The sequence below is a fragment of the Homo sapiens genome, chromosome 19 (assembly GCF_000001405.40).
Source record: "Homo sapiens chromosome 19, GRCh38.p14 Primary Assembly".
Classification (NCBI taxonomy): Eukaryota; Metazoa; Chordata; class Mammalia; order Primates; family Hominidae; genus Homo; species Homo sapiens.
The window spans coordinates 4,767,504-4,791,325 of NC_000019.10; the positions used below are offsets into that span (position 1 = coordinate 4,767,504).

The 23,822-nt window shown below is 49.2% G+C and overlaps 2 long non-coding RNA genes and 1 other non-coding gene across 3 annotated transcripts, besides 2 other annotated features; 2 read left to right on the forward strand and 1 right to left on the reverse strand.

Moving 5' to 3' along the window:
* Nucleotides 1–1,601: 1,601 nt before the first annotated feature.
* Nucleotides 1,602–5,053, forward strand: MIR7-3HG (MIR7-3 host gene). Its single transcript, NR_027148.1, has 3 exons — nt 1,602–1,848; nt 2,127–2,254; nt 4,661–5,053. It is a non-coding gene; the product is annotated as an MIR7-3 host gene (long non-coding RNA).
* Nucleotides 2,034–2,328: a silencer, noted in NCBI's record as "tiled region #15136; HepG2 Repressive DNase unmatched - State 12:CtcfO, and K562 Repressive DNase unmatched - State 8:EnhW". NCBI's record gives its function as "represses a minimal TATA promoter and a strong SV40 promoter by Sharpr-MPRA in HepG2 cells, with weaker repression in K562 cells {active_cell/tissue: HepG2 | K562}" and the evidence as "EXISTENCE:reporter gene assay evidence [ECO:0000049][PMID:27701403]".
* MIR7-3 (microRNA 7-3) lies at nt 3,167–3,276 on the forward strand. The gene has a single exon (NR_029607.1). It is a non-coding gene; the product is annotated as a microRNA 7-3 (primary transcript).
* Nucleotides 13,441–13,641: a silencer, noted in NCBI's record as "peak3287 fragment used in MPRA reporter construct". NCBI's record gives its function as "represses an SCP1 promoter by STARR-seq MPRAs in K562 erythroleukemia cells {active_cell/tissue: K562}" and the evidence as "EXISTENCE:reporter gene assay evidence [ECO:0000049][PMID:32103011]".
* On the reverse strand, nt 17,562–23,789 carry LOC124904620 (uncharacterized). The gene is made up of 2 exons (XR_007067103.1): nt 23,695–23,789; nt 17,562–18,024 (listed from the first exon to the last, which is right to left on the reverse strand). It is a non-coding gene; the product is annotated as an uncharacterized LOC124904620 (long non-coding RNA).

The window sequence follows — 23,822 nt, forward strand, 5'->3', positions numbered from 1 at the left end:
TTTGTCCTGGCCTGAATGATCAGGTCCTGTACAGCTGTCCCTGATTTATATCCTAACTGTCCCTTCTATGCTTGCTCACCCCCCAGGGCCTGTTCTTTCCCCCACCCCCACCAGGGCCCTTACACTGACTGTTCCTTCAACCCAATGCCCATACCAACATGTGAGCAGAGTTTTCATGTCTTTACCCTCCCTAAAGGCAAGGTTGGTTGCTGAATTCATGTATGTATCTCCAGTGCCTAGTACAACAAGTTTGTTGAGCAAATAAATGGGTGGAATAGATCAGGAAAGAATAACAGCTGCATTATTAGAAAACTTACCGTAAACAGACATGATTGCTAGTGCCATGCCAAGCCATATTGGGACCTCAGGCAAAAGGAAAAGTCAGAAAGGCTGGTTCTGCCTTTATTTACATTTTTGATATTTTGTTCATTGTGGATTTTGGCATACATTTTGATTTCTTAAAACATTGCATCGATTTTTTTTTGAGACAGGGTCTTGCTCTGTCACCTAGGCTGGAGTGCAGTGGTGCAATCATAACTCACTGCAGCTTCGACCTCCTGGCCTCAAGTGATCCTCTCACCTCAGCCTCCCAAGTAGCTGAGACCACAGGTGCCATTCTCTCTCTCTCTCTCTCTCTCTCTCTCTGTTTCTCTCTTTCTCTCTCCCTCTCTCCCTCTTTCTCTCTCAGAAACGGGGTCTCACTATGTTGCCCAGGCTCATCTTGAAATCCTGGCCTCAAGTGATCCTCCCACCTTGGCCTCCCAAAGTGCTCAGATTACAAGCATGAGCCATTGCACCTGGCCTGAAATATTATTTACCTTGATTATTGAGTTTTTTGGTGCCCCTTTAAGTTTTGCACCTGAGGCTGGTGCCTCACCCAACTCACATTAGCCCCTGCCCTGATTATTTCTAACATGCAATCCACACCATATCATTAGTTCCTCAGCAAATACTCTACTATTATCACTACTTCACAGTTGCAAAAACTGAGGCACAACTGTGCCCAATGTCCCAAAGGAAGGAGAAGAAAAATCTGAACTTGAACCCCAGTTTCTTCGTTTTTTGGTTCAGAGCCTGCCCAGTATAGCACTACAATAAGCTGAATTTTATAAATTGGGTTTTGAGTTAAGGAATCAAAAGCTTCAGGCTTAAGTCCCACCTCTGCCCCAGAGTCTTCTGAGCCCTCCATTTTCACAGACGTCAGTTGCCCTAGGTGGAACTGGACTTTAATATTCTCCACATCCCTTATTTTTTCCCAAAACAGTTTACCAGCTTTTTCTTTCCTGAACCAGGAGCAATAGCAAAAATTGGGAATGGGAAGAAACAGGTACCAGCCAGGACACCTGAACGAACTTGGAGCTCAGGAACCCAGGAGGGGATTGGAGAGAGTGGGGAGACTCCATGGTCCACAATGAATGCTCCTTCCCCATCCGAAAAAATCCCCTAGCCCAGTTTTTGGGCAGATGCCAGACTTTTATTCTGAAGCGTGGGCCACAACCTATGAGGTAATCTTTGGAGCTTCATTCTGAGGCGGAATCCCATTGGCCAGTTGGGGAAGCCCCTCCCAGGATTCCTGGCGCTCCGCCTTCCCTGAAGCCTATAAAAGCGCAGGTCCCCGCCTCGGCAGCCACGGGACACCTGCATCTGCCAACAAGACTGGAAGCAGGTGAGGCACACAGAGGGGGAGGCCCGCAGCTGCGTGGGAGGAGGGGTGGTCTGAGGGACGTGGGATGCCGGGAATGAGGCTGGTTTGCAGGTTGGCGCATGGACATTTTCCCAGAAAGGGACAGAGACGGCGAAGTTTGACGGTCTGGAAAGCAGAGACCAGCAGGGCTGACTGCTTGGGAGGTAAGTTCTGGGGACATGGTACAGGGTGAGGAGCAGGTATCAGTGCTAGTTGCGACCCCTCTGTGTCTCCCCCCCGCCACCCCATTGCCATTCTGAAGCTCCCCAGGAAGAAGCTAGGAGGGGAAATAAATTGAGTGGGGGTGGGGTTTCCCAAGAATCGGAGGAACCGAGAACGAAGAGGGGTGGGGGAACGGGGAAAGAGAGAGGAAAATCAAGTTTTCTTCAGCACGAGGGACAGCTCTCCACCGACCGAAGGAGGAGAATGCTATTTATTTCAGCACCAAATATCCGGACAGCGCCTCTCGGGAGGTCCGAGAAGAGAACCGCGATCTGTTTCAGCACCGGGGCTCAGGACAGTTCCCAGCGGGCTCCGTTTCGTCTCCAGAACCCTGGACAGCTCCTCCAGGTAACGGGAGAGCCCTTTGACCCTGATTTTGCAGGGGGAGGACGAGAGAGGGTGGTCTGAGGTGCCTGGCATTTCTGGAGACCTGCACCTCATGTAATGGATTTTTAAACAAAGTATTTTCCAGATAAGCACACACAGAAGTCTGCAATTTTCTTTTTTTTTCGAGACGGAGTCTTGCTCTGTCGCCCAGGCTGGAGTGCAGTGGCACGATCTCGGCTCACTGCAACCTCTGCCTCCTGGGTTCAAGGGATTCTCCTGCCTCAGCCTCCCGAGTATCTGGGATTACAGGCACATGCCACCACTCCCGGCTAATTTTTGTATTCTTAGTAGAGACGGGGTTTCACCATGTTGGCCAGGCTGGTCTCAAACTCTTGACCTCTTCATCCGTCCACCTCAGCCTCCCAAAGTGCTAGGATTACAGGCGTGAGTCACTGCGCCTGGCCCAAGTCCGGAATTTTCAACAGGTAAGATACCTCACTGGGGTAACAGCTGCCTGCTAAGATGACATTATGGTGTCTCTTCCAGACTTCGGTGAGAAACCTTGTGCCAAGCATTTTACATACATCATATCATGCCATCTTCAACCCTAGGACATGGGTGTTACTGTGCCCATGTGACATTTGGGGAACCCAAGGCCCTGAGAAAGGCAGAAAAATAACCCACGCAGGGACTCTCAGCCCACAAGTGAAGCTGTAAGTCAACCCCACCAGTCCAACTCCAAATCCCATGTCTCTGACGTGCCTGGGTGGGAGGTGGGCCCTTGGAGATCAGACCCTGCTTCTCTCCAGGAGAACCGGGAATGGAAAACAGGGAGGCAGCACAGAGGCAGGAAACTCAGGTGTCATAGCTTGGCTCAGGTGAGAAGGAGGAGCTGGGCAGGGGTCTCAGACATGGGGCAGAGGGTGGTGAAGAAGATTAGAGTGGCTGTGGTCTAGTGCTGTGTGGAAGACTAGTGATTTTGTTGTTCTGATGTACTACGACAACAAGTCACAGCCGGCCTCATAGCGCAGACTCCCTTCGACCTTCGCCTTCAATGGGCTGGCCAGTGGGGGAGAACCGGGGAGGTCGGGGAAGAATCGCTTCCACTCGGAGTGGGGGGGCTGGCTCACTCCAGGCGATACAGGCACAGGCAAAGGAGGGAAGCAAACAAGGACATACATCCTGTGCTCATACAGCCATGCACCATGTATGGGGTTTGTCACATCACTCGTACGCCCCCACAAGCCTGGAGATAGAACATACCTGACTCTAAACCCAAGACCTCTAACCACCTTATGGCGCTTTCCTGGGAGACCCAATGAGGGAATGACATTTAAAGCCCTCCCTAGACCAGAGTTCTCAGGGTACTTTTCTATTAAAAAAAAAATTATTATTTTTTTGGCCGGGTGGCTCACGCCTGTCATCCCAGCACTTTGGGAGGCCAAGGCAGGTGGACCACTTGAGGCCAGGAGTTCAAGACCAGCCTGGACAACATGGTGAAACTCCATTTCTCCTAAAAATACAAAAATTAGCTGGGCGTTGTGGCACACACCTGTAGTCCCAGCTACTCGGGAGGCTGAGGCATGGGAATCCCTTGAACCCAGGAGGCAGAGGCTGCATGACCCAAGATTGCACCACTGCACTCCAGCCTGGGCAACAGAGAGAGATTCTGTCTCAAAAAACATTTTTTTTTTCTTTTTTGTAAAGACATGGTCTCCTGCCTCAGCCTCTCAAAGTGCCAAGATTACAGGTGTGAGCCACCGAACCCAGCCTAAGGATACTTTTCAATAAAAGTTCCAGAAGTGGGCTGGGTGTGGGAGCTCATACCTGTAATCCTAACATTTTGGGAGGATGAGATGGGAGGATTGCTTGAGTACAGGAGTTTGAGACCAGCCTGGGCAATATAGTGAGACCCCGTGAGTTGACACATGCCTGTAGTCCCAACTACTTAGGAGGTGGGAGGAACACTTGAGCCTGGGAGATCAAGGCTGCAGTGAGCCATGACTGCACCACTGCACTCCAGACTGGGCAACAGAACAACACCCTGTTTCAAAAAAAAAGTTTCAGAAAAGATTCCTTTCCTGTCTGCTACCCATCAGTGTCATGGGCCAATCATAGGACAAGTGTGAACTTGTGCCCAGTGGTGACTTATGACATCATAAAGGCTCACCACCTTTGCCAGACATGGTGGCTCACACTTGTAATCCCAGCACTTTGGGAGGCCAAGGTGGGAGGATAGCTTGAGCTCAGGAGTTCGAGACCAGCCTGGGCAACATAGCAAGACCTCATCTCAGTAAAAAATAATAAATAAATAAATAAATATATAAGACTCACTCCCAATTCTCTGCAACACCCTAATCAAGTGAAAAACTGCACATGGTTACCTGTTCTCCAGCCTCAGGGCTTTTGCCTCTGCTGTTCCTGCAGCTTGGAATGCACTCCCTCCACCTCCAACCAGAGCTCCCCACAACTGACCCTGCCTTCTTCTGCAAGCTCCATTTCATCAAGGGAAACGATCCTTATTGCCTCACCATTTCCCACGTGAAGTCTGTATTGACATTCTCATAGACCTGGGATATTGTGTCTGCAGCACATAGTCCAATTATTTTCATGTTATCTACTGACAGGTCTATTTGTCTCCCTGTTACACTGTGAGCTCCGTGAGGGCAGAAACAATGTTAGTATTTTCACTGCTGTGTCCCCAGCGCCTGGTCCGGGGCCCGGCACACAGCAGGCATATAATAAGCATGTGTTGAATCAATAAAGGCATCAAAGAATAAACCAATACATCAATCAATAAATGAATGAATGGCCTCAGCACACACAGGAAGATCCTTCTTCTAGGTCTCCCCCAGAGAGATACTGGAGGGCAATGGTTGCTGGAGGTGTTTATTGGGGAAGCATAATTGAATTTGTGGACACTTAAGGGCCGGCCAGCCAACTCACAGCCCCAAGAGAGAGAGCCAGGCTCATTTAATTAGCAATTACAAGGCACTGATTCCTCATTAGCTCTGGCAACCCTCGTCTCCCTCCTCAGCCCCAGACAAATGAAATCTTTCTCTCTCTCCCAGGAGTACTGCCTCAGTGGGTCCATTAACAAGCAGAGAAAATGAGATTAGAAGACACCTAAATGCCAGAGGCACTTTATGAATGGGCTGAGCAGAGGGAGGTTCAATGTCTGGGTTAGGTCTAATTGTGGGAGGTTTCCTGGTCTATTTAGAATTGCCCCCTGGGAATGCAAGGTCTTTCAGAAAGGAAAAGGCACACAGATATTGCCTTCTGGGGTCCTCAATGGAGGAGGACATTCTGCTATGGGTGTCTCCCAGTCACCCCAAATTAATCATTTCAAAGTGAACACTCAATCTGCCCAGCCCCTAGCTTCCTCCCCTGACATGCCCATGAATATGACAGTCCCTCTACATGCCCAAGATCCTCCCCTCCTCATCCACTCCCCATGATCCCCAAGATGAGTCACTGTGCTCAAATCCATCCTCTCTCCTCCAGCCCTCTGCCTCCATGACCTCCCTCCAGCCCTCTGCCTCCATGACCTCCGCCTCCCTGCATGTCCGGATCTCCTCACTGTCTCCCCTCTGAGCATACACACACATACAGCCTGTTCATTCTCTACATGCAGCGAGGGGACTTTCCAGAACACACATCTGACCAAGTTCCACTCCTGCCTGTCACCCTTCCAAGAGCCCCACTGACTGCAGAATAACGTTCAAATATCCGGTTGGGCGTGGTGGCTCATGCCTGCAGTCCCAGCACTTTGGGAGGCCAAGGTGGGTGGATCACTTGCACAGGACCACAGGCGTGTGCCACCACACCCAGCTAATTTTTATATTTTTGGTAGAGACGGAGTTTCACCATGTTGGCCAGGCTGACCTCAAGTGATCCACCCGCCTCAACCTCCCAAAGTGCTGGGATTACAGGCATGAGTCACTGCACCGGTCTAATTTTTTCAGAGTCTCACTCTTGCCCAGGCTGGAGTGCAGTAGCATGATCTCGGTTCACTGCAACCTCTGCCTCCTGGTTTCAAGCGATTCTCTTGGCTCAGCCTCCTGAGCAGCTGGGATTACAGGCACGTGCCACCACACTTAGCTAATTTTTGTATTTTTAGTAGAGATGGGGGTCTCACCATGCTGGCACAGTTGGTCTTGAACTCCTGACCTCAAGTGATCCACCCACCTCGGCTTCCCAAAGTGCTGGGATTACAGACGTGAGCCACCGCGCCCGGCCAGCCTTTATTGATTCTTTTTAAAGCCACACTAACCTTTTATTTTCCCCCAAAGACCCCTGGGAGCCCTCAGTTTTTCCTGGCAGTTTCATCTTTGTACCCCTGACCTCCCCACACACACGCCTAGCTCAGTGCTGGCATCCAATATTCACTTTGGGTATAAATGCTTGTGCCTGAGCCTATCACCTTCATCACACAGAAAATCCTGGAGGCCACACACCCCTGTAAAGACGAGCCATTACCCACAGAGGTCCAACCAACTTACCACCCTCTCCCAGCCACCCCCAAGGACCCAGCTTGCAGCTGCCTGCTCAATGGCTTTAGAAACTAAAAAAGGTGAATGAGTTTCCATCACTGCCCTCCTGGGCTTTGCCGTTATGGCTGGTTAACTTGACAGAAGAACACATTATACTTCATTTTTTGCTGTTGTCTTGTTGGAAAAAAAAGTGACAGCTGGGTGCAGTGGTGCACACTGTAGTCACAGCTACTCAGGAGAATTGCTTGAGCACAGGAATTGGAGGCTACACTGAGCAATGATCGCCTCACTGCACTCCAGCCTGAACGACAGAGCAAGACCCTCTTAAAAAATACGTGAGAGAGGGTGCGTATGATGGCTCATGCCTGTAATCCCAGCAGTTTGGGAGGCCAAGACAGGTGGATTGCTTGAACTCAGGAGTTCAGGACTAACCTCGCCAACATGGTGAAATCCTGTCTCTACCAAAAATACAAAAAAAAAAAAAAAAATGTCGAACATGGTGTCACGAGCCTGTAGTCCCAGCTTCTCAGAAGGCTGAGGTGAGAGGATTGCCTGAGCTTGGGAGGCGGAGGTTGCAGTGAGCTGAGATCGCACCACTGCACTCCAGCCTGGGTGACAGAGCGAGACCCCATCTCAAACAAAACAAAACAAAACAAAACAAAAAAAACGGGCATGATGGCTCACACCTGTAATCCCAGAACACTTTGGGAGGCCAAGGCAGGCAGATCACTAGGTCAGGAGATCGAGACCATCCTGGCTAACATGGTGAAACCCCATCTCTACTAAAAATACAAAAAAAATTAGCTGGCCATGGTGGCGTGAGCCTGTAGTCCCAGCTACTCGGGAGGCTGAAGCAGGAGAATTGCTTGAACCCGGGAGGCGGAGGTTGCAGTGAGCTGAGATCGTGCCACTGCACTCCAGCCTGGGTGATAGAGCGAGACTCTGTCTCAGGAAAAAAAAAAAAAAGTGTGAGAGAGACCCCCTTCTCCCCTGGCCATGAGCAATTAAATTATGATTTTAATCACCCAGAGTTAAGTGTCAGAATCCACAGGTTAGCCAGGTGCAATGTCTCATGTCCTGTCATCCCAGCTACCCGGGAGGCTGAGGTGGGAGGATGGCTTGAGGCCAGGAGTTTCATACCAGTTTGAGTCTTACTATGTTGTGGGCAACATAGTAAGACTCCCCTCTCTTAAAAAAGAAAGAGGAGGCTGGGCGCAATGGCTCATGCCTGTAATCCCAGCACTTTGGGAGGCCAAGACGGGTGGATCACCTGAAGTCAGGAGTTTGAGACCAGCCTGGCCAACACAGTGAAACCTGAATCTATTAAAAATACAAAAATTAGCCGAGCGTGGTGGCACACGCCTGTAATCCCAGCTACTTGAGAGGCTGAGCTGGGAGGATTTCTTTAACCAGGAAGGCAGAGGTTGCAATGAGCCAAGATTGTGCCACTGCACCCTGGCCTGAGCAACAGTGAGTCCGTTTCAAAAAAAAAAAAAACAAAAGCAGTCACTCCTCATTCTTCTTCCCACACTCCAGCCCCTGGCAACCATTTATCTGATTTCTATCTCTCTGGATTGGCCTGTTCTGGACATGCCATAGAAATGGGATCACACACTGTGTGGCTTTTTGTGTCTGGCTTCTCCCACCTGAGCCTGACGTCCTCAAGGTTCTTGTAGCCTGTGTCAGAGCCTCATTCCTTTTCATGGCTGAGTCATATTCCATTGCATGGATATACCACATTTTCCTTATCCAGACGCTGTTTTGATGGCTTTAGACACATGATCTCCTGCGAGGTTGGTGGTCTTATTGCACCCTATTTTGCAGGAGAGGAAACTGAGGCCCAGGGAGGTCAAGCAAGTTGCTCGAGGTTGCACAGCTGCTGGTGGCATAGCCAGGACTTCAATCCAGGCAGTATCATCTAGGGTCTGCAAGTTGAACCCCTACCTTCTACCCCTCTAACAGTTTAGTATTCAGAGACTATGTAGCAATTATTATCATTTTTTAAAAAATGGAGTCTCACTCTGTGGCCCAGGTTGGAGTGCAGTGGTGTAATCTCAGCCCACTGCAACTTCTGCCTCCTGGGTTCAAGTGATTATCCTGCCTCAGCCTCCCGAGTAGCTGGGATTACAAGCACCCATCACCATGCTCTGCTAATTTTTGTATTTTTAGTAGAGACGGGGTTTCACCATGTTGACCAGGCTGGTCTTAAACTTCTAACCTCAAGTGATCTGCCTGCCTCGGCCTCCCAAGGTTCTGGGATTATGGGCGTGAGCCACCGTGCCCAGCCCAATCCAGGCAGTTTGATCCAGTCTGCAAGTTGAACCCCTACCATCCACCCCTCTAACAGTTTGGTATTCAGAGACAATGTGGCAATTGTAATGTATCTCTATCATTTTCCCAGGGAAGGATGCCAAGACACAGACAGGAGTTTGTGGCGGTCACCCAGTGAATCATCCCCAGCTAGGGCTGGAACTGAAGCCTCAGGCTTGGGGAGGGGTCAGTTCAGAAACCTTGAGGGTCTTCTCTGACGCCTGCTTGGCTCCCTTGTGTATGTTTTGGAGAATTTTTTTGTAGGGAGGCAAGTGAGGGAGGAGGGCAGAACTTAAATGCTGCAACATTCAAGGGCTCAAACGGTGGTTGCCTCCCACTAGGGAGGGCAGGGGGCCGCCAGAGAGAGCCTTGATTATGTCCTGCACCTTAATGGGTCCTTCCTAAGAGAGTGGCTTTGGTTTCCATGACAACAAGCCGGCAGCATCAGAGCAAGATAGTGGAGTCTCCTCCCCCGACCCACATCTGGTTCTGGAATCTCTACCCCTCTATCCCAGTCATTCCAAATCGCAGGAATCCAGCTGTGGCTCAGCCCAAGACCAGAGGGGGCAGCCACGCAGTGGACAGCGCTCCTTCTCTGTGGCCTAGCAGGCAGGAGGACCCCTGGCCCTGCCCCACGCTGGTAAGGAAGAGATGAATGGACAGAAATAGCGTATGCCGGGCCTGGCACAGTGGGTTACGCCTGTGATCCCGCACTTTGGAAGGCCGAGGCAGGCAGAACACTCGAGGCCAAGAGTTCAAGATCAGTCTGGCCAACATAGTGAAACCCCGTCTCTACTAAAAATACAAAAACTAGCCAGGTATGATGGCAGGCGCCTGTTAATCCCAGCTACTCGGGAGGCTGAGGCAGGAGAATCGCTTGAACCCAGGAGGCAGAGGTTGCAGTGAGCTGAGATCGTGCTACTGTACTCAAGCCTGGGCAATAAGAGCAAAACTCCGTCTTGAAAAAAAAAAAAAAAAAGCTACAGCCAGGAAGGGAGCAGTGGCTCATGCCTGTAATCCCAGCACTTTGGGAAGCCAAGGAGGGATGATTGCTTGAGGCCAGGAGTTCAAGATCAGCCTGGGCGACATGGCAAGACCATGCCTCACCAATAAGTAAATAAATAAAAAATTAGTTGGGTGTGGTGGCACGTGCCTATTGTCCCAGCTACTTGGGAGGCTGAGGAAGGAGGACTGTTTGAGCCCAGGAGGAGGAGGCTGCAGTGAGCCATGATTGTGCCACTGCACTCCAGCCTGGGCGACAGAACAAGCCCCTGTCTCAAAATAACAGCAAGAAAACAAACAAAACAAAACAAGACAAAAAAACTCTACAGCTAACAGTACACTTAATGGTACAAGACTGAATGCTTTCCCCCTAGAATGGGACTAAGACAGAGACGTCCAGCTCTGTAGCCCAGGCTGGAGTGCAGGGGTGTGATCTCAGCTTACTGCAACCTCCACCTCCTGGGTTCAAGCAATTATTGTGCCCCAGCCTCCCATGTAGCTGGAATTACAGGTGTGCACCACCACGCCTGGCTAATTTTTTGGGGGTAATTTTAGTAGAGACAAGGTTTCAACATGTTGGTCAGGCTGGTCTCAAACTCCTGGCCTCAAGTGATCTGCCCACCTCAGTTTCCCGAAGTGCTAGGATTACAGATGTGAGCTACCATGCCCAGCCGACTCTCATCATTCCTTCCTTCCTTCCTTCCTTCCTTCCTTCCTTCTTTCCTTTCTTCCTTCCTTCTTTCCTTCTTTCCCTTTCTTTCTTTCTTTCTCTTTCTCTTCCTTCCTTCTTTCTCTCTTCCTTCTTTCTTTCTCTCTTTCCTTCCTTCCTTCTTTCTTTCTTTCTTTTCTTTCTTTCTTCCTTCCTTCCTTCCTTCCTTTCTTCCTTCCTTCTTTTTTCTTTTCTTTTTTTTTGACAAAATCTCACTCTGTCGCCCAGACTGGAGTGCAGTGGCACCATCTCGGCTCACTGAAACCTCCGCCTCCCGGATTCAAGTGATTCTCATGCCTCAGCCTCCCTAGTAGCTGGGATCACAGGTGCCCACCACCATGCCTGGCTAATTTTTGTATTTTGGTAGAGATGGGGTTTTACCATGTTGGCCAAGCTAGTCTCAAACTCCTGACCTCAGGTGATCCACCTGCCTCGGCCTCCCAAAGTGCTGGGATTATAGGCGTGAGCGACCACATCCAGCTGCCACTTCTATTCAATATTGTATTGGAGGTTCTAGCCAGTGCATAAGAAAAAAAAAAAGGCATCCACATTGCAAAGAAGTAAAACTGTGTTTATTCACGGGTGCCATGGTTGTCTATGTAGAAAATATTACAGAATCTACAAAAGATTGCAGGCTCCAAGAACAATATAAAACATTAATTATATTTCTATATACTAGTAACAATCTTTCAGAAATTGAAATTAGGCCAGGCATGGTGGCTCATGCCTGTAATCTCAGCACTTTGGGAGGCCAAGGCAGGCAGATCACAAGGTCAGGAGATCAAGCCCATCCTGGCTAACACGGTGAAACCCTGTCTCTACTAAAAATACAAAAAATTAGCCAAGTGTGGTGGCGGGCGCCTGTAGTCCCAGCTACTCAGGAGGCTGAGGGAGGAGAATGGCTTGAACCGGGGAAGCAGAGGTTGCAGTGAGCTGAGATGGTGCCACTGCACTCCAGCCTGGGTGACAGGCAAGACTTCGTTTCAAAAAAAAAAAAAGAAAAAAGAAAGAAAATTACAGAAAATTGTAGACATAAAAGTTTCTCTTTTACTTGTTATGAGGAAGCAGACATCCTGGGCAACATAGTGAGACCCCGTCTCTACAAAAAATAAACAATTAGCCAGGCATGGTGATGCACCTGTAATCCCAGCTACTTAGGAGGCTGAGGTAGAAGGAAAGATTGCTTGGCCCTGGGAGGTCAAGGCTGCAGTGATCTATGATTGTACCACTGCACTCCATCCAGCCTGGGCAACAGAGTGAGATCTTGTCTCAAAAATAAATAAATAAATAAATAAATAAATAAGAGAGAGAAAAAGCAGGTATGCCTGCTACTCCATAACATTTCTGTTAGAAGGCTAGATGAGGGTTGTCTCTTAAGGTCCTTAATGAAAAAGAAAAAAGACAGGTTCTTTTTTTTTTTTTTTTGAGATGGAGTCTTGCTCTGTTGCCCAGGCTGGAGTGCAGTGGTGCAATCTCGGCTCACTGCAAGCTCTGCCTCCCGGGTTCACGCCATTCTCCTGCCTCAGCCTCCCGAGCAGCTGGGACTACAGGCGCCCACCACCACGCCTGGTTAATTTTTTGTATTTTTAGTAGAGATGGGGTTTCACTGTGTTAGCCAGGATAGTCTTGATCTCCTGACCTCATGATCCACCTGCCTCGGCCTCCCAAAGTGCTGGGATTACAGGCATGAGCCGCCACATCCGGCCAAAAGACAGGGTCTTGCTATGTTGCCCAGGCTGGTCTGTAACTCCTGGGCTCAAGTGATCCTCCCATCTTGTCCACCAAAATTGCTGGGATTTCAGGTGTGAGCTACTGTGACCTGCAAGGGACCTCATCTTTGATGGAGAATTTCCCTAAAATGCTCCTTTTCTTAAATAGGGTCTCACTCTGTAGCTTGGGCTGGAGTCAGTGGCATGATCATGGCTCACTGCAGCCTTGACTTCCTGGGCTCAAGAGATCCTGCTGCCTCAGCCTCCCAAGTAGCTAACTATAGGCACACACCACCATGCCAAGCTAATTTTTTTATTTTTTGTAGAAATGAAGTATCACTGTGTTGCCCAGGCTGGTCTCAAACTCCTAGGCTCCAGTGATCCTTCTGCCTTGGCCTCCCAAAGTGTTGGGATTACAGGCATGAGCCACCACCCCCAGCCAAAATGCTGTCTGATGAGCAAGGGATGTCAATACAATACGGAATGTACCATACCTGCCAGGTTGTCCATCCTCTGCATTTTTGGTGCTGTCTCTTCCTTCCACCTGTGTGATGGTCTTAAAACATCCACAGCCGGGCACGGTGGCTGCTGGGCGCGGTGGCTCACGCCTGTAATCCCAGCACTTTGGGAGGCCGAGGTGGGCGGATCACGAGGTCAGGAGATCAAGACCATCCTGGCTAACACGGTGAAACCCCGTCTCTACTAAAAATACAAAAAATTAGTCGGGCGTGGTGCCGGGCGCCTGTAGTCCCAGCTACTTAGGAGGCTGAGGCAAGAGAATGGCGTGAACCTGGGAGGTGGAGCTTGCAGTTAGCCAAGATCACGCCACTGCACTCCAGCCTGAGCGACAGAGCAAGACTTTGTCTCAAAAACAACAACATCAACAAAAAAAAAAAAAATCCACAAACATCTAACTCTGTTTTCTTGTGAAGATCCAATTCTCTCCCCTTGAAAGTGGGCTAGACTTGGCAAATACGATGTGGCAGAAGTGACACTATGACTTCTGAGGCTGCGTGATAAGAGGTGATACGATACAGCTTATGCCTGGTTCTCTCTCTGGATGCTTGCTCCTGGGACCCAGCAGCCATCTTGTGAGGAAGCTCAAGCTACATGGAGGTGTTCCTGCCGGCAGTCCCAGTTGAGGTCCTTCAAGATGACTCCAACCCCAGCCTCCTTCTGACTTGAACCACATACGAACTGCCCCCAGTGAGAACTGTCTAGCAGAGTCCACTCTCAGAACCATGACAAGTAATAATAATAGGTTGTTGTTTATGTCAGTAACCTTGAGGTCGTTTGTTAAGTCAATTTAGGTATCTAGAGCAATCTGGACCATTTGTTTCTTCCAAAGTTCTACCTAAAAAAAAATCCCTGTCCAGGCCAGACATGGTGGCTCACGCCTGTAATGCCAGCACTTTAGGAGGCTGAGGTGGGCGGATCATAAGGTCAGGAGATTGAGACCATCCTGGCTAACGCGGTGAAACCCCATCTCTACTAAAAATACAAAAAATTACCTGGGCGTGATGGCGGGCGCCTGTAGTCCCAGCTACTCAGGAGGCTGAGGCAGGAGAATGGCGTGAACCTGGGAGGCGGAGATTGCAGTGAGCCAAGATTGAGCCACTGCACTCCAACCTGGGTGACAGAGCAAGGCTCTGTCTCAAAAAAAAAAAAAAATCCCTGTCCATACTTGAAGACCTAGCCTCGCACATGAAGTATCTCCCAGGTTCCTCCTTCCCTCCCCAGCCAGATACAATCCATTCATTCTCAGGCTCCTGCATCCCCAACCACACAGTCTAACTTGAGTTATTCTCCTCCCATCAGATTCTGGGCTCTTGAGAACAACATCTGCTTGTTTACTGCTATATAACCAGGATCCAGCACACAGCCCAGCACATAGCAGGTGCTAAGAATATAAATAAATGTGGCTGAATGTTTAAATGAATGAAGAAATGAAACAAAGATACATACTAATGCCTTCAGGCTGTGCTACATTATATAAATCTATCTAGTCCCTTCAGGGAGTGGGAGACACACTGAGACTGTTTCTTAGAAACTAAACCATGGCATATTTTCCCAATGAACAGACAATTCCCCGGAGAGGAAACAGACATCGTAAACAAACTCTTGGGGAACTGTGTGATTTGGTTAGTAATTATAGACAGGCAAATTAAAGCTACCAGCTAGCACGTGGCACAATCCCAGTTACTATTACTGCACCACAGATGACCCCAAAATGTTCAGGCTTAAAACAATCATCATGGCTGGGCGGAGTGGCTCACGCCTGTAATCCCAGCACTTTGGGAGGCCGAGGTGGGTGGATTGCTTGAGCTCAGGAGTTTGAGACCAGCCTGGGCAACATAGTGAAACACCGTCTCTACACAAAAATACAAAAATTAGCTGGACATGGTGGCACAGGCCTGTAGTCCCAGGTACTTGGAAGGCTGAGGTGGGAGGATTGCTTGAACCCAGGAGGCAGAGGTTGCACTGAGCTGAGATCATGCCACTGCACTCCAGCCTGGACAACAGAGACAGACCCTTTTTTTTTTTTTTTAATCATTTTCTTATATCTTATGGATTCTGTAGGTCAGGAGCTTGGGGCAGGGCTCCACTGGGAAGGTAGCCATTTGCCCAAGCCAAGGAGAGAGGCCTCAAGATAAATCAATCTTTCCCATATCTTTCTTGTTTTTAAGTCAGGGTCTTGCTCTGTCACCCAGGCTGGAGTGCAGTGGTGCGATCATAGCTCACTGCAGCCTCCATCTCCTGGGGTCAAGATCCTCCCACCTCAGCGTCTCAAGGAGCTGGGACCACAGGTGTACATCACTGTACCTGGCTAACTTTTTAAATTTTTTCATAGAGACGGGGTCTCGCTGCATTGCCCACACTAGTCTTGACCTCCTGGATTCAAGCAATCCCTCATGTCAGCCTCTCAAGTAGCTGGGACTACAGGCGTGCCCTACCATACTCAGCTCATTCTGCCCATATCTTGATCTTGAACTTCTAGGCTCCAGAAATGTGGAAAAATAACTTTCTGTTGTTTAAGCCACTCAACCTGTGACATTTAGCTATGACAGTCCAAGCAGACTAATACACTTACTCCTCTTCTCGTCTCTTTCCTTTTCTTTTCTTTTCTTTTTTGAGACGGAGTCTCGCTCTGTCACCCAGGCTGAAGTGCAGTGGCATGATCTCGGCTCACTGCAACCTCTGCCTCCCAGGTTCAAGCAATTCTCCTGCCTCAGCCTCCTGAGTAGCTGGAACTACAGGCGTGCACCACCACACCCAGCTAATTTTTGTATTTTGAGTAGAGACGGGGTTTCACTGTGTTGGCCAGGATGGTCTTGATCTCTTGATCTTGTGATCTGCCCGCCTCAGCCTCCCAAAGTGCTGGGATTACAGGCATGAGCCACCGAGCCCAGACTTGTTTGTTTTTTTTTTTTTTGAGATGGAGTCTCATTCTGTTGCCCAGGCTGGAGTGCAGTGGCAAGATCTCGGCTCACTGCAACCTCCACCTCCCAGGTTCAAATGATTCTCCTGCCTCAGCCTCCTGAGTACCTGGAATTACAGGCATGTGCCACCATGCACAGCTTATTTTTGTATTTTTAGTAGAGATGGGGTTTCACCATGTTGGCCAGGCTGGTCTCGAACTCCTGACCTCAGGTGATCTGCCCGCCTCAGCCTCCCAAAGTGCTGGGATTACAGGGGCGAGCTACCGCACCCAGCCGAGACCAGTGTTCTAAGTGAAGTAACTAGTAATGAAAAACCAAATACTGTGTATTCTCACATAAGTGGGAGCTAAGCTATGGGTTTGCAAAGGCATACAGAGTGAAATAATAGGTGGGACACAGTGACTCACACCTGGAATCCCAGCACTTTGGGAGGAGAAGGAGGGAGGACCATTTGAGCTCAGGAGTTTGAGACCGGCCTGGGCAGTATAGCAAGACCCCACAAGCATCTAAAAAAAATTAGCTGGGTGTTGTGGTACATGCCTCTAGACCCAGCTACTCAGGAGGCTCAGGCGGGAGGGTCACTTGAGCTCAGGAGTTCAAGCCTGCAGTGAGCTATGATTGCACCACTGCACTGCAGCCTGGACAACAGAGCAAGACCTTATCTCAAAAAATAAAAATTTAAATTAAAAAAATGGTATAATGGACAGTGGAGACTCAGAAGCGGGGAGGGAGTGGAGAGTGAGGGATAAAAAGCTACATACTGGGGCCAGACGCTGTGGTTCACACTTGTAATCCCAGCACTTTGGGAGGCCGAGGCAGGTGGATCACCTGAGGTCAGGAGTTTGAGACCAGCCTGGCCAACATGGTGAAATCCTGTCTCTACTAAAAATACAAAAATTAGCCAGGCATGGTGGCAGGCGCCTGTAATCCCAGCTACTTGGGAGGCTGAGGCAGGAGAATCACTTGACCCCAGCAGCTGGGGGTTGCAGTGAGCCGAGATCTTGCCACGGCCCTCCAGCCTGGGCAACAGAGCAAGACTCTGTCTTAAGAAAAAAAAAAAAGAAAGAAAAGAAAAGAAAAGAAAAGAAAAAAGCAAAACGAGAAAACTACGCATTGGGTACAATGTACTCTACCTGAGTGACGGCTGCGCTAAAATCCCAGGCTTCACCACTACCAATCATCCATGTAACCAAAAACAACTTGTACCCCAAAAGCTATTGAAATTAAAAAAATTTTTTTTTGTTTTTTTGTTTTGAGACGGAGTCTCGCTCCGTTGCCCAGGCTGGAGTGCAGTGGCACAGTCTCGGCTCACTGCAAGCTCCGCCTCCCGGGTTCATGACATTCTCCTGCCTCAGCCTCCGGAGCAGCCGGGACTACAGGCGCCCGCCACCGCGCCCGGCTATTTCTTTTTTTGTATTTTTAGTAGAGATGAAGTTTCACCGTGTTAGCCAGGATGGTCTCGATCTCCTGACCTCGTGATCCGCCCGCCTCGGCCTGCCAAAGTGCTGCGATTACAGGCGTGAGCCACCGCGCGCAGCCTTAAATGTTTTTTTAAGGGTCCGTTTTGTTTTATTTTGCTCCCTGGTCTAGCTCAGCTCCGGAATCGGTGCAGACACGCAATATCCTCTCAGTAGATATTTATGGAATAAATAAATCTGTCTCATCTTTGGCATTGCTATGATGGGGTCTATTTTGTCTTTTTCTCTATTTATCCCCATGTTTAAAATATTTTTTTATTAGAAAAAAAAACGGAAGTCACCTTAGGATGAAAGCGCCTCCCCTCCCAACCCCCCAGTGGGGTTTGGCATGTCTCTCGCTGTCCCCATCACCTCCCTGGCCCGTGCAGGTGGCCTGGCCGTGGTTCTGCACGGGCCGCCGCGTTTAGGCGGCACTGCAGCTAATGACACCCCGCAGCGTGTGCCTGGCTGGCCGCCCGAGATGTGCCTGCGCATGGCATGGGGACGTTTGCAAGCCTGGATCCTGGCGCGGGGGCAGGTAGCGGGAGAACAGGCACGCAGATGGCAGAGGGGCTGGGGCGGGGACGCTCGCCTGGCGTGGGCCACAGTCACGACCCAATCGTAGCCCCCACTGTGTCTCTTCATAGTTGCATCCTTGGAAACCGGCGGGGCTGCAGGAAAAAAATTAAAAATCAGATGAAAGAAAATAAAGCAGTGGAGACCTCCAGAAGGTGCCCGCCCCACAGAATAGTAGTCAGAGTGGTGCTGTGGTTACAATGTGCTTCCTGGGGTGATGACTTTATTCATTCCACAGATATTTATTATTATTATTATTATTATTATTATTATTGTTATTATTTGAAATGGAGTTTTGCTCCTGTTGCCCAGACTGGAGTGCAATGGCGCGATCTCGGCCCACCACAACCTCTCCCTCCCGGGTTCAAGCGATTCTTGTGCCTCAGCCTCCCGAGTAGCTGGGATTACAGGCATGCGCTGTCACGCCTGGTTAATTTTTGTATTTTTAGTAGAGACGAGGTTTCTCCATGTTGGTCAGGCTGGTCTCGAACTCCTGACCTCAGGTGATCCGCCCATTTCAGCCTCCCAAATTGCTGGGATTACAGACGTGAGCCACCGCGCCCAGCTTCCACGGATATTTATTGAGCACCTACTCTGTTCTAGAAACAGGAATGCAGCAGTGAACACGACAGAGAAGAGTCCCTGAACAAACATTCTAAATTTGTTAATTATACAGCAGGGTAGGTTGGAAAGTGATGTATGCTACGGGGGGAAAAATAGGCTGAAAGGATCGTCGTTCCACCTCGGCCTCCCAAAATAGTGGGATTATAGGTGTGAGCCACAGTGCTCAGTCTTAATTTTCAATATTGGCCATGATTAACAACTGGTAGGAAAAAAAAATCCTGAAAATATAACGATCAGCTCTTGTGAGTCAGTATACACCAACATCTGCACACTCTGGAGGGGTAAATTCTGTTTTGTTTGTTTGTTTTGTTTTGTTTTGTTTTGTTGAGACGGAGTCTCTCTGTCGCCCAGGCTGGAGTTCAGTGGCATGATCTTGGCTCACTGCAACTTCCCAGGGAGTTGGAAGGAGGGAGGAGGTTGGAGGGAGGAGGTTAGAGGGAGGAGGTTGGAGGGAGAGAGGAGGTTGGAGGGAGGAGGTTGGAGGGAGGAGGTTGGAGGGAGGGAGTAGGTTGGAGGGAGGGAGGAGGTTGGAGGGAGGGAGGAGGTTGGAGGGAGGAGGTTGGAGGGAGGAGGTTGGAGGGAGGGAGGAGGTTGGAGGGAGGGACGAGGTTGGAGGGAGGGAGGAGGTTGGAGGGAGGAGGTTGGAGGGAGGGAGGAGATTGGAGGCAGGAGGTTGGAGGGAGGAGCTTGGAGGGAGGGAGGAGGTTGGAGGGAGGAGGTTGGAGGCAGGAGGTTTGCTGATTTTTAGCATTTGCCCATTTCCTGTGGTGTAAATATTCAAGCCAAGAATGATTTCCAGCTACCACCAAGGAGCCATAGAACAGGGTATGGGGGCTGGGCGCGGTGGCTCACACCTGTAATCCCAGCACTTCGGGAGGCTGAGGCGGGTGGATCACAAGGTCAAGAGATAAAGACCATCCTGGCCAACATGATGAAATCCCACGTCTACTAAAAATACAAAAATTAACTGGGCGTGGTGGTGTGCGCCTGTAGTCCCAGTTACTTGAGAGGCTGAGGCAGGAGAATCATTTGAACCCGGGAGGCGGAGGTTGCAGTGAGCCGAGATCACATCCCCGCACTCCAGCCTGGTAACACAGCAAGACCCCGTCTCAAAGAACAAACAAATAAAAAAGAACAGGATAGTCGGAAGGAACGTGCAGGGGGACCCCAGCACACAGTATCCCGGTACCACTGGGCAGGTGCAGTGGACTTGAATAACCCAGGAAACATAGAACATAGTGGGACATAGTAACAAAAATAGTGAATTTGTGAGCATTTGTTATTTGTTATCTTTGTTTTTGTTGTTGTTGTTGTGTTTTGGGAGTTTTTTTGTTTTGTTTTGTTTTTTTGAGACGGAGTCTCGCTCTGTCGCCCAGGCTGGAGTGCAGTGGCGCCATCTCGGCTCACCACAACCTCCGCCTCCCTGGTTCCAGCCATTCTCCTGCCTCAGCCTCCCGAGTAGCTGGGAATGCAGGCGCCCGCCACCATGCCCAGCTAATTTTTCTATTTTTAGTAGAGACGAGGTTTCACCATGTTGGCAAGGTGGGTCTTGAACTCCTGACCTCAGGTTATCTGCCTGCCTCGGGCTCCCAAAGTGCTGGGATTGCAGGATTGAGCCACCACACTTGGCCTAAAAAACACTTTTTTTATTTTTTATTTTTATTTATTATTATTATTTTTGAGACAGAGTCTCGCTCTGTCACCCAGGCTGGTGTGCAGTGGCACGATCTCAGCTCACCGCAACCTCTGTCTCCCAGGTTCAAGCAATTCTCCTGCCTCAGCCTCCTGAGTAGTTGGGATTACAGGCGCCTACCACCACGCCTGGCTAATTTTTATAGTTTTAGTAGAGACTGCATTTCACCGTGTTGGCCAGGCTGGCCTCAAACTCCTGACCTCAGGGGATCCTCCTGCCTCAGCCTCCCAAAGTGCTGGGATTACAGACGTGAGCCATCGCACCTGGCCACAAAGCACTTTTAGACATGTTTTCTCTCTCACGCTCCTATGTTCTCATTTTACAGATGAGAAAGCTATGTTCAGGGAGCTTGGGCCACTGTCCAAAGCCATGCAGCTGTTTGGCCGTGGACTTGGTTGTTGAATCCAGGAATTCAGCTTTTAGAATTAACCTCTTGTCTGTGTTGAGAGGCAAATGGTTCGTAAAGTATTTTCACTCAAAACGCTTAGCCTCCCTACGGTGCCAAATACTATAACAGGCAAAAAGAGTGTCCCGGGGGTTGACCAAGGTCCATCTGGCTGGAGCTTCTCATGCCCCTAAATGGTCTTATGGCCAGTCCCAGGTGCACTGTGGAAGTCTCAAAAGTAGACATTTAACATGCAACTTTAAGCTGCTGTCCTGTTATTGGACCACAGTCCCTCTAATTTTTTAAAATAAATCCTGTAATTGCTTCGTGGAAAGAACAATTATATTGCAAGACACTGCCATCTGTGGAAGGACATTAAAATACAATGAAGTGGCCAGGCATGGTGGCTCACGCCTGTAATCCCAGCACTTTGGGAGGCCGAGGTGGGTGGATCACTTAAGGCCAGGAGTTCGAGACCAGCCTCGCCAACACGGTGAAACCCCATTTCTACTAAAAACACAAAAATTAGCTGGGTGTAGTGGCGCGCGCTTGTAGTCCCAGCTACCTGGGAAGCTGAGGCAGGAGAATCACTTGAACCTGGGACGTGGAGGTTGCAGCGAGACAAGATCACACCACTGAACTCCGGCCCAGGCGACAAGAGTGAAACTCCATCTCCCCCCCGCCAAAAAAAAAAAAAAAAAACTTCAGGGTATGTGTGTGTATATTTCAAATGGTTGAACTGTTCATTAAAAACATTTCAAATATGCCATGAAATCCTATTTGGAGGCATTTCTTCATGTTGTACCACACATGAGAAAGCATCAAAAAACAATTGGTGGCCAGGTGAGGTGGCTCACGCCTGTCATCCCAGCACTTTGGGAGGCCGAGGCGGGCGGATCATGAGGTCAGGAGTTCGAGACCAGCCTGACCAACATGGAGAAACCCCGTCTCTACTAAAAATACAACATTAGCCTGGCATGGTAGCACATGCCTGTAATCCCAGCTACTTGGGAGGCTGAGGCAGGAGAATTGCTTGAACCCGGGAGGTGGAGGTTGTGGTGAGCCAAGATCGTACCATTGCATTCCAGCCTGGACAATGAGAGTGAAACTCCGTCTCAAAAAAAAAAAAAAAGAAAAGAAAAAAAGAAAAAGAAAACAACAACAACAAAAAAAGAATACTTACACTCGTAGGCATTACCCAAGAGAAATGAAAACATATTTCCACACAAAGACCTGTACGCAGAAGTTTATAGCAGCTTTATTTGTAATCATCTAAAACTGGAAAGAACCATCACGTAATGGATAAAAGAATGGTGGCTCGTTCTTGCCATGGAATACAGCTCCGTAATAAAAGGCAACGAACTGCTAATACACGTAACAGCATAGATGCATCTTGAATGCATTGTGCTGAATGAAAGCTGCAGACCCCAGAGGCCGCATACTGCATTTTTCCGTTTCTGTGCTGTTAGTATGAAACGCAGAGAACAGATCAGCAGTTACCAGTGGCTGCGGGTGGACAAAGGCGTTGATCAACAGGGCATGAGATAACATTCTTTTTTTTTGAGACGGAGTCTCGCTCTGTCGCCCAGGCTGGAGTGCAGTGGCGCGATCTCGGCTCACTGCAAGCTCTGCCTCCCGTGTTCACGCCATTCTCCTGCCTCAGCCTCCCGAGTAGCTGGGACTACAGGCGCCTGCCACCACGCCCGGCTAATTTTTTGTATTTTTAGTAGAGACGGGGTTTCACCGTGTTAGCCAGGATGGTCTCGATCTCCTGACCTCGTGATCCACCCATCTCGACCTCCCAAAGTGCTGGGATTACAGGCGTGAGACACCGCGCCCGGCCGGCATGAGATAACAATTCTGAATGAAGACGCTGTTGAACATCTTGGTTGTGATACTGGCTACATAGCTGCATGTTTGTCACACCTGTTCTCTTTATTTATTTTTATTTATTTATCTTAGAGACAGGGTCTCCCTCTGTCACCCAGGCTGAAGTACAATGGTGCAATCACGGCTCACTGCAGCCTTGACCTCCTAGGTTCAAGCGATCCTCCCACTTCAGCCTCCCGAGTAGCTGAGACAACAGGTGCACGCTACCACGCCCGGCTAATTTTTCTATTTTTGTAGAGATGTGCTATGTTTCCCAGGCTGGTCTCGAATTCCTGGGTTCAAGCAATCCTCCCACCTCAGCCTCCCAAAGTGCTGAGATTACAGGTGTGAGTCACCTTGCCCGGCCAAACCTGTCCTCTTTATTAAAAATGCATTTTATTGTATATATATTACACCTCGAATAAACTTTAAAAATAAAGAATTCGGGTCACCAAAGATTTCTTTTTCATAATATAATTCATTGTTGTCAAAAAATGCCAGGGAATGGATCACCTTACAACTGCTAGAATAGCTATCATCAAAAAGACGAAAGGTAACAAACGTTGGCAAGGATTTGAAGAGAACACTTATACACTACTGATGGTAATTTTAATTAGTATAGCCATTATAGAAAATGGTATGGAAGTTCCAAAGAAAAATTTAAAAATAAAACTACCAGGTGATCCAGGAATCCCACTTCTGGGTCTTTATCCAAAGGAATTGAAGTCAGCACGTCAGGCCGGGCATAGTGGCTCACGCCTGTAATTCTAGCACTTTGGGAGGCTGAGGCGGGCGGATCTCCCAAGGTCAGGAGTTCGAGACCATCCTGGCCAACATGGCGAAACCCGTCTCTACCAAAAATACAAAAATTAGCCGGGCGTGGTGGTGGATGTCTGTAGTCCCAGCTACTCGGGAGGCTGAGGCACGAGAATCACTTGAACCCGGGAGGCAGAGGTTGCAGTGAGCCGAGATTGCGGCATTGCCCTCCAGCCTAGGCAACAAGAGCGAGACGCTGTCTCAAAAACAAAAACCAAAACCAAAAAACCCCACAAAGTTATTGAAAGAAATAAATAAAAATAAATACGTAAATAAAAGAAGGAAATTCTGACACATACTAGAATATACATAAATGTATGTAAATGAATAAATGAATATATGAATGTGAGAATAAGAAGTGAGCGCGTCATTTTTTACCGTTCTCCCAGCTCAAAACGTTTTCGCCCCGTCCAGCTTTTCGGCCTCCTCCGGGCGCCCCCTGCCGGTGGGCCGCTTGCCCGTGCTCCAAGCCCAAAACAGACGCGTCCCCTCTAGTCGCTTTTAGC